This window comes from Homo sapiens, chromosome 5, assembly GCF_000001405.40.
Source record: "Homo sapiens chromosome 5, GRCh38.p14 Primary Assembly".
NCBI lineage: Eukaryota > Metazoa > Chordata > Mammalia > Primates > Hominidae > Homo > Homo sapiens.
This window is the reverse complement of record NC_000005.10, coordinates 180,438,513-180,452,231: the sequence shown is the minus strand read 5'-3', so window position 1 is coordinate 180,452,231 and position 13,719 is coordinate 180,438,513. Positions and strand designations below refer to the sequence as shown.

General features: G+C 42.8%; 1 long non-coding RNA gene and 1 pseudogene across 1 annotated transcript, besides 1 other annotated feature; both read right to left on the bottom strand.

The window, feature by feature from the left end:
- RNU6-525P (RNA, U6 small nuclear 525, pseudogene) lies at positions 7,620 to 7,723 on the bottom strand (annotated as a pseudogene).
- LOC124901152 (uncharacterized) lies at positions 8,992 to 10,473 on the bottom strand. The gene is made up of 2 exons (XR_007059086.1): positions 10,377 to 10,473; positions 8,992 to 9,502 (listed from the first exon to the last, which is right to left on the bottom strand). It is a non-coding gene; the product is annotated as an uncharacterized LOC124901152 (long non-coding RNA).
- Positions 9,645 to 10,844: an enhancer, noted in NCBI's record as "P300/CBP strongly-dependent group 1 enhancer chr5:179868388-179869587 (GRCh37/hg19 assembly coordinates)". NCBI's record gives its function as "activates an origin of replication core promoter dependent on BRD2, BRD4, P300/CBP, MED14 and CDK7 cofactors, with strong dependence on P300/CBP, by STARR-seq in HCT116 cells {active_cell/tissue: HCT116}" and the evidence as "EXISTENCE:reporter gene assay evidence [ECO:0000049][PMID:35650434]".

The following is a 13,719-nucleotide window of genomic DNA, read 5'->3' as shown; positions in this document are numbered from 1 at the left end:
CCACGCCTGGTCTCACTCTTTTATTAAAATATAAAATTCTGTTCTTGAATCATGGATGCACTACCTCCCTGGGGATATTAATAAGAGGCTTATTTTTAAAGCCTTTCTTTCCATGTGTGGTTTCTGCCTCATTCAAGCTCTTGTTTGTTTGTTTGCCTGTTAGTTTTGGTCTCTAGACTTGACATAAGAAGCTTTCCTCAAATGTGTGGTAATCTTTAACAATCCATTCACATTCAGCCATGGGGAAAAATAGGATGGAGGATTTTCAGTTCTAGCCATGACAGAGAAACAAGAGTTGGATTCAGCTTTGTGTTTTAGGCAGCAGTAATACTGTAGAAAATATATGGAGTAAAACTACAGAAATGTGACTTTGAAAGAAGAGAAACACATGTGATAAGCTCCATATTACTCCCAGCTCTCTGCCTGGGAGAACTTTCCAAACAATAAACTGTGGCTGAGACAGGAGGCATTGGCCTTATTGAGTAAAGGACATGGAGATTAGACTTTAGAGCTGCTGCAGTGGCTGGAATTTATGGGGCAGAGTAAGAGAGAGGAAGGACTTGTGCAAAGAAGAAACTGAGCAAGATGCATAGTGCTTCTGTTGACTCCAGCCAAATACTAAGCTGGAATGCTCAGGAAAATATTCTGTGAGGCCAATGAGAGAAAAACTACTGGGAAACCGAACTGAATTGATTTCAGAGGTCACATAACATTGGAAAAAAATTGTATTTCAAACAACTCAAATAGAACGAATTTGCTGAATGACAAGCATTCATATGAGATGCCATAAAGGTAAACCAAAAACACTCTTTAAAGGAAAACAACATAATCTAGACTGATAATAAGGTAGCATAACAACGTCCAACATACCATAAAAAATTGCTACACATATAGGAAGTAGCAGAAGCCCATGAAGAGAAAAAGCGGCCGGGGACAGTGGCTCCCGCCTGTAATCCCAGCACTTTGGGAGGCCAAGGTGGGTGAATCACAAGGTCAGGAGTTTGAGACCAGCCGGACCAACATGGTGAAACCCGGTCTCTACTAAAAATGCAAAAATTGGCCAGACGTGGTAGCGTGCACCTGTAATCCTAGCTACTCAGGAGGTTGAGGCAGGAGAATCACTTGAACCCAGGAGACAGAGGTTGCAGTGAGCCAAGATTGCGCCACTGCACTCCAACCTGGGCAACAGAGTGAGACTCTGTCTCGAAAAAAAAAAAAAAAGAGAGAGAGAAAGAAAGGGTTAATAGAAACAAATCCAAAGATGACAAAGATTATAAAATTGGCAGCTAAGGTTTTTTGACCAGCTATCACTAGAAATTATTCAAGGATTTAAAGAAAAGCATGGAAATAGTAAACAGATGGGGACTTAGCACAAAAATGAAAGTGTGAAAAAGAAAAATTAGAAATTCTAGAACTAACTGATACAATATCGGAAATTAAAACTTCACAGGATGGACTTAGGAAAATGAATAGTGCAAAGAAAGGATTAGCAAATCTGAAGGCAGGTCAATAAAAACTATCCAATTTAAAGCACACAGAGAAATACAAAAAGAATAGAGCTTTCGGGACCTATCAAGCACTCTAAGGCAAAAGTAATTAGATCCTTAGAAGGAGATATGTTATATTGGGGCAGAAAAATATTTGAAAAAATGGTGCCAAATTTTTTCTAATTTTGATGAAAATGACAATCCATATATCCGAAAAGCTCAATAAACTCCAAGCAGTATGAACATACACCCCTAGCCACATTAAACTGGAATTGCTAAAAACAAAAAATAAATAGAATATCTTGAAAGAAGTCAGAAGAAAAGGATGCAGTACATATAGGAAGACAACAGTAGGAATGACCGTGTCATTCTCATCAGAAATAACAGAACTCGTAGAAAATGAAACATGAAGTTCTGAAAGAAAAAAAAATCTGTCAATCAGAATTACACATCTATTGAAAATACCATCAGAAATGAAGGTGAAATAAAGATATTTTAAATGAACAAAAGCTGAAATAATTCACTAACAGAAGATCTACATTACAAGAAATATTAAATAATTTTTCAGTATGAAGAGAAACAATGCCAGAGTTTCCTTTGTTTAATGAGTTGCCTTCAAATATTTGTCAAAAATTAGTTCTGCAAGTATATGTGGGTCTATTTCTGCACTCTCTTTTCCATTAATCAATTTGTCTATTACGCCAGTCCCATGCAAGTCTGATTATATTGCTTTATGATAAGTACTGAATTTAGGTACCGTTACCCTTCTAACTTTGTTCATCTTTTTCAAAATGACTTTGGCTAGTCTAGGTGCTTTTAATTTTCATTTTTTTTCTTTCTTTTTTCCCGAGAAGCCTCTAATCTCTCATAGTTGCTTTTAATTTTCTTTTCTTTTTATTTTATTTATTTATTTATTTTTATTATACTTTAAGTTCTAGGGTACATGTGCACAACGTACAGGTTTGTTACGTATGTATACATGTGCCATGTTGTGAATTTTAGAAACAGCTTTTCAATTTCTGTATTTAAGAAAGCCTACTGGATTTTAATTGGAACTGTATTAAATCTATAGATCAATTTGGGGATAATTAATATGTTAATTTGCAATTCATTGTTAATACATAGGAATAAAATTGACTCTAGTACCTTGATCTGGTGTCCTGCAACCTTGCTGAATTCATTTATTAGTTTCAGTAGCTTTTTTGGAGATTCCACCAGCTGTGTTCTAAAGTATATATACACTGTGGAGTGACTAAACCTAGATAATTAACATATGCATAATCTCACAGTTATCTTCTGTGGTGAGAATACATCCATTATGTTAGCATTTTTAAGATTACAATATACTGGCCGGGCGCGGTGGCTCAAGCCTGTAATCCCAGCACTTTGAGAGGCTGAGGCGGGTGGATCACCTGAGGTTAGGAGTTCGAGACCAGCCTGGCCAACATGGTGAAACCCCATCTCTGCCAAAAATACAAAAATTAGCTGGGTGTGGTGGCACGCGCCTGTAATCCCAGTTACTCGGGAGGCTGAGGGAGGAGAATCGTTTGAACCTGGGAGGCACAGGTTGCAGTGAGCCCAGATTGTGCCACTGCACTCCAGCCTGGGCAACAGAGCAAGACTCCATCAAAAAAAAAAAAAAAAAAGACAGATAAAGTGAAAAGACAACCCAAAAAATGGGAGAAAGAAATTGCAAATCACATATCTCATAAAAACCTACTATCCAGAATATATATAAATTACTTCTTTTAGGAAATATCTATTCAGGTCCTATGCCCATTTAAAAAACTGGGTTATTATCTTGCTATTGAGTTGTTTGAGTTCCTTATATATTTACATATTGACTTTGTATTAGATGTGTAATTTGCAGTGTTTTCTCTCATTCTGTAGATTGTCTCTTCATTCTGTTGATTGTTTTTTCCTTCGCTGTGCAGAAACTTTTTAGAGCTGGGTGTGGTGGCTCACACCTGTAATCTCAGCACTTTGGGAGGCTGAGGTAAGCAGCTTGCTTGAGCCCAGGAGCTCAAGACCAGCCTGGGTAACATGGCAAAACTCTGTCTTTACCAAAAAGAAATCCAAAAAACAAAAATCAGCCGGGCATGCCGGCCTGCACCTGTTCTCCCAGTTACTTGGGGGGCTGTGGTGGAAAAATCATCTGAGCTGACTAATATAGAAGAAAAGAGAGAAGAATCAGACAGACTCGATAAAAATGGAAAAGGGGACACCACCACTGATCGCACAGAAATACAAACTACCGTCAGAGAATACTACACACACCTCTATGCAAATAAACTAGAAAATCTAGAAGAAATGGATAAATTCCTGGACACATACACCCTCCCAAGACTAAACCAGGAAAAAGTCGAATTCCTGAATAGACCAATAACAAGTTCTGAAATTGAGGCAGTAATTAATAGCCTACCAACCAAAAAAATCCCAGGACCAGACGGATTCACAGCTGAATTCTACCAGAGGTACAAAGAGGAGCTGGTGGTACCATTCCTTCTAAAATTATTCCAAGCAATAGAAAAAGAGGGACTCCTCCCTAACTCTTTTTATGAGGCCAGCATCATTCTGCTACCAAAACCTGGCAGAGAGACAACAACAACAACAAAATTTTCAGGCCAATATCCCTGATGAAAATTGATGCGAAAATCCTCAATAAAATACTGGCAAACTGAATCCAGCGCACATCAAAAAGCTTATAAACCATGATCAAGTCTGCTTCATCCCTGGGATGGCTGGTTCAACATATGCAAATCAATAAATGTAATCCATCACATAAACAGAACCAATGACAAAAAACACATGATTATCTTAATAGATGCAGAAAAGGCCTTCGATAAAATTCAACACCCCTTCATGCTAAAAACACTCAATAAACTAGGTACTGATGGAACATATCTCAAAATAATAAGAGCTATTTATGACAAACCCACAGCCAAGATCATACTGAATGGGCAAAAGCTGGAAGCATTCCCTTTGAAAACCAGCACAAGACAAGGATGCCCTCTCTCACCACTCCTATTTAACATAGTATTGGAAGTTCTGGCCAGGGCAATCAGGCAAGAGCAAGAAATAAAAGGTATTCAAATAGGAAGAGAGGAAGCCAAATTATCTCTATTTGCAGATGACATGATTGTATATTCAGAAAACTCCATCGTCTCAGCCCAAAAACTCCTTAAGCTGATAAGCAACTTCAGCAAAGTCTCAGGATACAAAATCAATATCCAAAAATCACAAGCATTCCTAAACACCAATAATAGACAGAGAGCCAAATCATGAGTGAACGCCCATTCACAATTACTATGAAGAGAATAAAATATCTAGGAATACAACTTACAAGGGATATGAAGGACCTCTTCAAGGAGAACCACAAACCACTGCTTAAGGAAATAAAAGAGGACACAAACAAATGGAAAAACATTCCATGCTCATGGATAGGAAGAATCAATATCGTGAAAATGGCCATACTGCCCAAATTAATTTATAGATTCAATGCTATTCCCATTGAGCTACCATTGACTTTCTTCACAGAATTAGAAAAAAACTACTTTAAATTTCATATGGAACCAAAAAAGAGCCCGTATAGCCAAGACAATCCTAAGCAAAAAGAACAAAGCTGGAGGCATCACGCTATCTAACTTTAAACTGTACTACAAGGCTACAGTAACCAAAACAGCTTAGTTCTGGTACCAAAACAGAGATATAGACCAATGGAACAGAACAAAGGCCTCCCAAATAACACTACACATCTACAACCATCTGATCTTTGACAAACCTGACAAAAACAAGCAATGGGGAAAGGATTCCCTATTTAATAAATGGTGTTTGGAAAGCTGGCTAGTCATACGCAGAAAACTGAAACTGGACCCCTTCCTTACACCTTATACAAAAATTAACTCAAGATGGATTAAAGATCTAAATGTAAGAACTAAAACCATAAAAACCCTAGAAGAAAACCTAGGCAATGCCATTCAGGACATAGGCATGGGCAAGGACTTCATGTCTAAAACACCAAAAGCAATGGCAACAAAAGCCAAAATTGACAAATGGGATCTAATTAAACTAAAGAGCTTCTGCACAGCAAAAGAAACTATCATCAGAGTGAACAGGCAACCTACAGAATGGGAGAAAACTTTTGCAATGTATCCATCTGACAAAGGGCTAATATTCAGAATCTACAAAGAACTTAAACATATTTACAAGAAAAAAAAAGAACCCCATCAAAAAGTGGGCAAAGGATATGAACAGACACTTCTCAAAAGAAGACATTTATGCGACCAACAAACATGAAAAGAAGCTCATCATCACTGGTCATTAGAGAAATGCAAATCAAAACCACAATGAGCTACCATCTCATGCCAATTAGAATGGCTATCATTAAAAAGTCAGGAAACAAGAGATGCTGGAGAGGATGTGGAGAAATAGAACGCTTTTACACTGTTGGCGGGAGTGTAAATTAGTTCAACCATTGTGGAAAACAGTGTGGCCATTCCTCAAGAATCTAGAACCAGAAATACCATTTGACCCAGCAATCCCATTACTGGGTATATACCCAAAGGATTATAAATTATTCTGCTATAAAGACACATGCACACTTATGTTTATTGTGGCACTATTCACAATAGCAAAGACTTGGAACCAACCCAAATGCCCATCAAGGATAGACTGGATAAAGAAAATGTGGCACATATACACCGTGGAATTCTATGCAGCCATAAAAAAAGAATGAGTTAATGTCCTTTGCAGGGACATGGATGAAGCTGGAAACCATCATTCTCAGCAAACTAACACAGAAAACCCAACACTGCATGTTCTCACTCATAAGTGGGATTTGAACAATGAGAACATATGGACACAGGGAGGGGAACATCACACACTGGGGCCTGTTGGGGGTGAGGGGCAAGGGAAGGGATAGCATTAGGAGAAATACCTAACGTAGATAATGGGTTGATGGGTGCAGCAAACCACCATGGCACATGTATACCTATGTAACAAACCTGCATGTTACGCACATGTATCCCAGAACTTAAGTATAATAATAAAAAAAAAGACACCCAGGAAGAACAAAAAATACAGAATTTAACATACTAAATGGTTAGCTACATGGTATGGTCATAGTAAGATTGAGGGAAGAAGAAATGTAATAGTATGTCTGAATATACATTTTATATGCTTTTGAAATATTTTAGATACATACAAAAATAAAAGTAAATTTTAAAAAATCACCTGAAGCTGGAGGTCAAGTCTGCAGTGAGCTGTGATCGCACCACTGCACTCCAGCCTGGGCAACAGAGTGAGACCCTGTCTCAAAAAAATGAAAAAAGAAACTTTACAGCTTGATGTAATCCCATTTATCTATTTTTGCTTCGTTGCCTATGCTTTGGGGGTTATCTGCAAAAAGTCCTTACCCAGGCCAATGCCGTGGAGTTTTCCCAAATGTTTTCTTTTAGTAGTTTCATAATTTGGTTCTTACATTTAAGTCATTAATTCGTTTTGAGTTAATTTTTGTATATGGTGTGATCTGAGGGCAGGTTTAGAGGCTCAGTCCATGATTACTGGCCTGGAATATGGGATGTGGGATGTGGGGGTTTGCCTGGTGCTGGGCCTGGTACTGGGGTCTAAGGAAAAGTCCTATGCTTACTTCCCTCTCTTCCTCCCCAGAGGATGGCATCTCTCAATTCAGTGCTGCCTGGGGCTGGGGATGGATGATGTGGGTAACTTAAAACTGCCTCTCCTGCCCTCGCCAATATATACTTTCTCATTATGCTACAACCAGATACTGCTCTCTCTCACCTGGTTTCCTTAGCTCGTGTGAAGATATTTTCAAGCATGAATAGTTGTTCAAATTGATGTTTCTGTGGCGGGACAATCACTGTAAAGTCCTATTTTGCCATCTTGCTTCACTCCTATCCAGCAAAAGAGAGAATCTTGAAAGCATCACAAGAGAAGTAAACTTGTCTCATATAAGGGATCCTCAATAAGATTAACAGCTGATTTCTCATCAGAAACCATGGAGGCCGGAAAGTTGGCATATTTAAAATGATGAAAGAAAAAAAAAACTGTCAACCAAGAACTCTATATCCAAAAAATAATTCCTTAGAAAATTTGTAATTTAATTTTTATTTCTAATAAAATGAACACTTCACAAATTTGCACGTCATCCTTGCCCAGGGGCCATCCTAATCTTCTCTGTGTCATTCCAGTTTCTAGTATATATGCTACTGAAGCAAGGGAACCCAGAAAAACTATTCTTCAACCAATAATAATTCAAAGCCCTTTCATGGAGAACAATCTCATCAATAAATGATGCTGGGCCAACCAGATATCCAAATGCAAAAAAATAAAGCTGAGGCCTTTCCTCACACTATAAACAAAAGTCAACTCAAAAGGGACCGAAACCCTAAGTATAACAGTTAAAGTTACAAAAAACTCTTAGAGAAAACACTGGGGCAAATCCTAATGCCCTGGATTTGGCAATGGGTGCTCAGATGTCACCAAAGTCACATGCAACAACAATAGATAAATTTGTACTTTATCAAGACTAAAAACTTTTGTGCATCAAAGAACACTGTCGGCCAGGTGTGGTGGCTCACGCCTATAATCCCAGCACTTTTGGGAGGCTGAGGCGGGTGGATCACTTGAGGTCAGGAGCTTGAGACCAGCCTGGCCAACATGGTGAAACTCTATCTCTACTAAAAATAGAAAAATTAGCCGGGCATGGTGGTGCATGCCTGTAATCCCAGCTACTCAGGAAGCCGAGGCACGAGAATCGCTTGAACCCAGGAGGCGGAGGTTGCAGTGAGCTGAGATCATGCCACTGCACTCCAGCCTGGGCAACAGAGCGAGACTCCTTCTCAAAAAATAAATAAATAAATAAATTAGTCAGGTGTGGTGGTGCACACCTATAGTCCCAGCTACTTGGGAGGCTGAAGTGGGAGTATCACTTGAGCCCAGGGGTCTGAGGCTGTAGTGAGCTAAGATTATGTCATTGCACTTTAGCCTGGAAGAAAGAACAAGACCCTGTTTTTTAAAAAGAGGAGAGAGAAAGTGTGAAAAGACAGCCCTCAGAATGGGAGAAGGAAATTGCAAATCATGTATCTGATAAAAAATCTACTATCCAGAATATATAAAGCATTATTATTATTATTATTATTATTATTTTTGAAATGGAGTTTCGCTCTTGTTGCCCAGGCTGGAGTGCAATGGTGCGATCTTGGCTCACCACAACCTCCGCCTCCCGGGTTCAAGCACTTCCCCTGCCTCAGCCTCCTGACTAGCTGGGATTACAGGCGTGTGCCAGCATACCCAGCCAATTTTTTTTGTATTTTTAGTAGAGATGGGGTTTCTCCATGTTGGTCAGGCTGGTCTCGAACTCCTGACCTCAGGTGATCCGCCTGCCTGGGCCTCCCAAAGTGTTGGGATTACAAGCGTGAGCCACCGCACCTGGCCGTATAAAGCACTGTTACAACCTAACAACAATGAAGACATACAACCCAGCTTAAAAATGGACAAAGAACTTGAATAGACATTTATTCAAAGAAGATACACAAAGGGCCAACAAGCACATGAACAGATAGATGCTCAACATCACTAATCATCAGGGAAATGCAAATCAAAATCACAACATGATATCAGTTTACAACCACTACGATGGCATAACAACAGAAATTAACAAGTGTTGACAGCGTCTTAGTCCACTTGTGCTGCTGTAACACAACTCCATGGACTGGGTAAATTATAAATAGAAATTTATTTTCTCACAACTCTAGAGGTTGGGAAGTCCAAGATTAAGGCTCCAGCAGACTTGGAGTCTGGCGAGGGCTGCTCTCTTTGCTTCCAAGATGGTGCCCTGTTACTTCATCTTCCAGAGGGGATGACCACTGTGTTCTCGGGAACAGAGAAGGGGTAGAAAGATGAGGCTCCTAGCAGGAAACCCTGGCACATCCCATCTCCCTCAGTCTCTTCTCTGAGTCCTCTCTCTAAGGGGCCTGGAGGGATGGACCAGGTACCTGTTGGGAAAGGAAAGCTGTCAGCCTTTAGGGCCACACTTAAATGGGACATGAGGGCCCAGCACCCTGAGGGTGGGGCTTGACATCAGATCCTGGGTCAATAATTGAGGAGGCTGGCAGTGCAGTTACTTGTGTAAGCCTGTAAGTGTTCAGCCTCAGTTTCCTATCTAAGAAGCCACAGGTGATACTGGAGAGAGAGAGAGAGATGACCTGGGCTGATTTCCCCAGAGAGCCTGGCCCCAGAGACACAGATCTGGGTTAGTATCTCAGTTTTACACCTAAAAACTTAGTAAATCTTTGTAAGGTTACCAATCCCTTGGAGCCTCAGCTTCGTTGTCTGTAAAATGGGGACAATAATACCTGCAGAAGACTGTAGTGAAGGAAAAGTGAAGAAAGTTTATACCGTGCCTCATTCCCCAAACATTTTGAGGCAGTGAGATGATGTACGCAGAGGACCTGGACCAGTAAGCCTCCTTTGCTGTGTTCCCTCTCCCCTCCACATCCTGTCCCTTCCTCCCTCCCAGGCTGCCTTCATGACCTCACCTGTTTCCCACCCGCGATTTCAGGAAAGGGTCTGATAATCCTATCCCACGCAGAAAGCCGGTCTGTGTGGGAGCCCAGGGCCCCAAGACTGGCAGAGAGGAATGGGGGGAAGACAGGGTCTCACCAGGGTCCCTGACAACCCAGCTTTGCCCAGTGTAAGCCCGGCTGGTTTCCACCAGGTGTTCAGGGGTCACTCCAGCTCACAATCCATTTGCACTGAAGTTGTACCTGTGGCCATGGCAGCACGGTACCAGCTTGCAAACACACCCTGCCCCTGCCCCCTGCTTCCTAGCGGACCTGCCTCTCCCCCAGATCCAGCCACCACACTCACCTCTCCAGGCACCCCGCTGGCCAGGCCCCAGCGCGCATGCCTTCACGCGGCTGTAATCACAGCACCCCTTCCAGCTGCTTGCGCGGGCTTCCAAGTTGCAACACAGTCCTCGGAACTTTGCTTTCTAGTGCCGTCAAGGCAAAGCACGTAACTCCAGAGCCACACCCTTGCCCTGAGTGGTTTTCCCCTTCTTTCGGGTTATTTCATCAGGGTAAATTCCCAGCAATCAGAGTCTTGAGCTAGAGAACATGGTATTTGTATGGTTCTCGCTGCTTATTGCCAAATTATTTTCCCACAGGCTTGTGTGCTTTTGCTATGAATAAATGAATAGATTGAATAGATGAGTTTGACTATACCATTACTGCCATTGAGCTTTTTTTTTTTTTTCTTTTTTTTAGACAGAATCTCACTCCATCACCCAGGCTGGAGTACAGTGACGTGATCTCAGCTCACGGCAACCTCCACCTCCTGGGTTCAAGCAATCCTCCTGCCTCAGCCTCCCGAGTAGCTGGGATTACAGGTGTGCGGCCACCATGCCTGGCTAATTTTTATATTTTTAGTAGAGACAGGGTTTCACAATGTTGACAGGGTGGTCTCGAACTCCTGACCTCAAATGATCATCCCTCCTCAGTTTTTCAAAGTCCTGGGGTTACAGACATGAATGAGCCACTTCACCTGGCCTCATTGATTCTTACCATTAACTTTTCAAAATTTTTGCAAATAGCTTTTTTTTGTATGTGTGTGACAGGGTCTCACTCTGTCACCCAGGCTGGAGTGCAGTGGCACAATCATAACTCACTGCAGCCTTGAACTCCTGGACTCAGGTAAACCTCCTGCCTTAGCCTCCTGAGTATTTGGGATTGCAAAGACCTTTATTTTTGTTTCTATAAATAAAAACTGCTTGTCAAAATATTCTTACACTATAGACCAATAGGAAGGCCTCTGGTAAACAGATATCTTACACCAAATAACCGTACATTTTTAGTCTGCCGTCATAGCTCTTCCTGAAAAACATATCCCATGTTATCTCCACGTCCTTCATAGGATATTTTCCTGCATGATTGTAATGCTATTATGACACTTAGTGGTCAGGAAGTCTTTGATGTCATCTAATGCCCTGTCCACAGTCACACTTCCCCATTGCCTGAAAAATAAAGTCTCTTTTCATGTCTTTTGTTCAAATAGAATCCAAACACAGGCCACACGTATCTGGGTGTTGTGCTTCTTAATTCTCTTGTAACCTAGAGCGCCCCCTCTTCCCTTCTCGCGGTTGGCTTGCGGCACGAGCTGGTTTCTGTCCTGCAGAGGGACCCTCCCTCCCGATCTGGGCTGCCTTGAGGTGTTGTTTAATGCGACCCTCCATCCCCTTCCTCCTTGAAACTGGAAGTCAGTCGTAAAGCGAATGCGCAGGATTCAGGCTCAACTTTTTTGGCAGGAAGTCTCAGGGGTGGGGCTGGGAGCATCCTCACACATTCCTTTTGGAGGCACAGGGCATCTGGCTGCTCCTGTCTTGGGGATACAGTCAACAGCCCCTCCAAGGTAACTGTCCCCATCGACATTCTAGGTGTTGATCAGTGCCTGTGGCTCAGCGGTCAGCAAGGATCTACTCCTCAGCTCACTGCTGAGGGGAGCAGTGATTCCCTCATTCACTCATTCATTGAAGCTTTCCAGTTGAAAATAAATCTGGAAAGAGGAAGGAAGCTGGCGTTCATGGAGCACCTTCTAATGTGCTGGCACAGTGCCTGACGCTGTGTTGTACTGTTTTATTGATCTATTTAATTTATTTATTTTATCTATTTATTTTAGACAGAGTCTTGCTGTTGCCCAGGCTGGAGTGCAATGGCATGATCTCGGCTCACTGCAAACTTCCCCTCCTGGGTTCAAGTGATTCTCTTGCCTCAGTCTCCTGAATAGCTGGGATTACAGGCATGCGCCACCACACCCAGCTAAGTTTTGTATTTTTTTATAGAGACGGGGTTTCACCATGTTGACCAGGCTGGTCTTGAACTCCTGACCTCAGGTGATCTGCCCGCCTCAGCCTCCCAAAGTGCTGAGATTACAGGCATGAGCCACCACACTCGACTGTTATATTTAATCTTCAGAACAGCAGGGCGAAGAAGAAAATGGGTAGGATCACGACAGAAATCACAGCCAGTAACTCGGGCTGCCTCATCTCATCAATCCCATCCTCGTGGCAGACTGTGCGTTAGATCCCTAATTTACCAGTGAGGAAAGCAAGGCTGGGATCCGGTACTGACAGGCCCCAGGGCACAGAGCCAGCAGGAGGCGGGGCAGGGTTAGCACAGGTTTCTTCCCTTCTGCAGCGAGCCTCCTTTCTGCACAGGCACCGACGGGGTCACGACCCGCCTCAGTGCTGGCTGCCCTCAGGCAGTGCCGACCCAGACGGGGTCTGTGTGTACACAGGCCCACCTAACACTGCCTTTAGAACTTTCTGCTATGAAGACACAAGCATGACCAACAGTGTCCTTGGCTCAGCAGATGTTTCTTCGCCACGGTCCCAGCTCTTCACAGTCCCCGTGCAACACCGAAGCAGTCCGGGAGCCTGTGGGCTGTCCAGCAGAGGTGGCCGGGGGAGGCCAGCGGAGGCTCACCTGGAGATGGAGCTGTGGGGAACACTGGCATGGAGATGGGGCTGGGGCCAGGCAGTGCAGGAGATGACCAGGCTGTGTAGAGGGTGAGCAGCCGTGGGGCTTCGAGACAGCCCAGAATAATGGAGGAGGAATCATCTAACTCCTAGGAAGGCGTCTTAGTCCATTCAGGCTTCTACTGCAGAATGTCACAGACTGGAGAGCTTAACAACAACAGAAATTGATTTCTCAGAGTTCTGGAGGCTGGGAAGTCCAAGGTCACGGCACCAGCAGCTTTGGTGTCTGGCAAGGGCCTGCTTTCTGGTTCTCTAGCTGTGTCTTCTCATGGCAGAAGGGGCAAGGGCCCCCTTTTATATGGGCAATAGTTCCATTCATGAGGGCTTCATCCTGTGACCTAATAACCTCACAAAGGCCCTCCTAATACCATCACTTTGGGGCTTATGCCTCAATATATGAATTGACGGGGCTGGGGACAAACATTCAGTCTACAGCAGAAGGGAGCTGCAGAATCTTACCCAGAACCTCCACATCATCAGCGGGAGAAAGACAGCACCAGCCGTCTCCACACTGGGGAACACACAGCCATCAAAAGAACAGCAGGGGCCACACACTGGTGGAGGTTTCACTCAGCAAGACAGGCGGACAGTGAAAAAGTCAAAGGGGCAGAACCATGTGGACACGTTGTGCGCTTTGTGACACACTCATAGAAACTCTTTTTTTTTTTTCTTAAGACG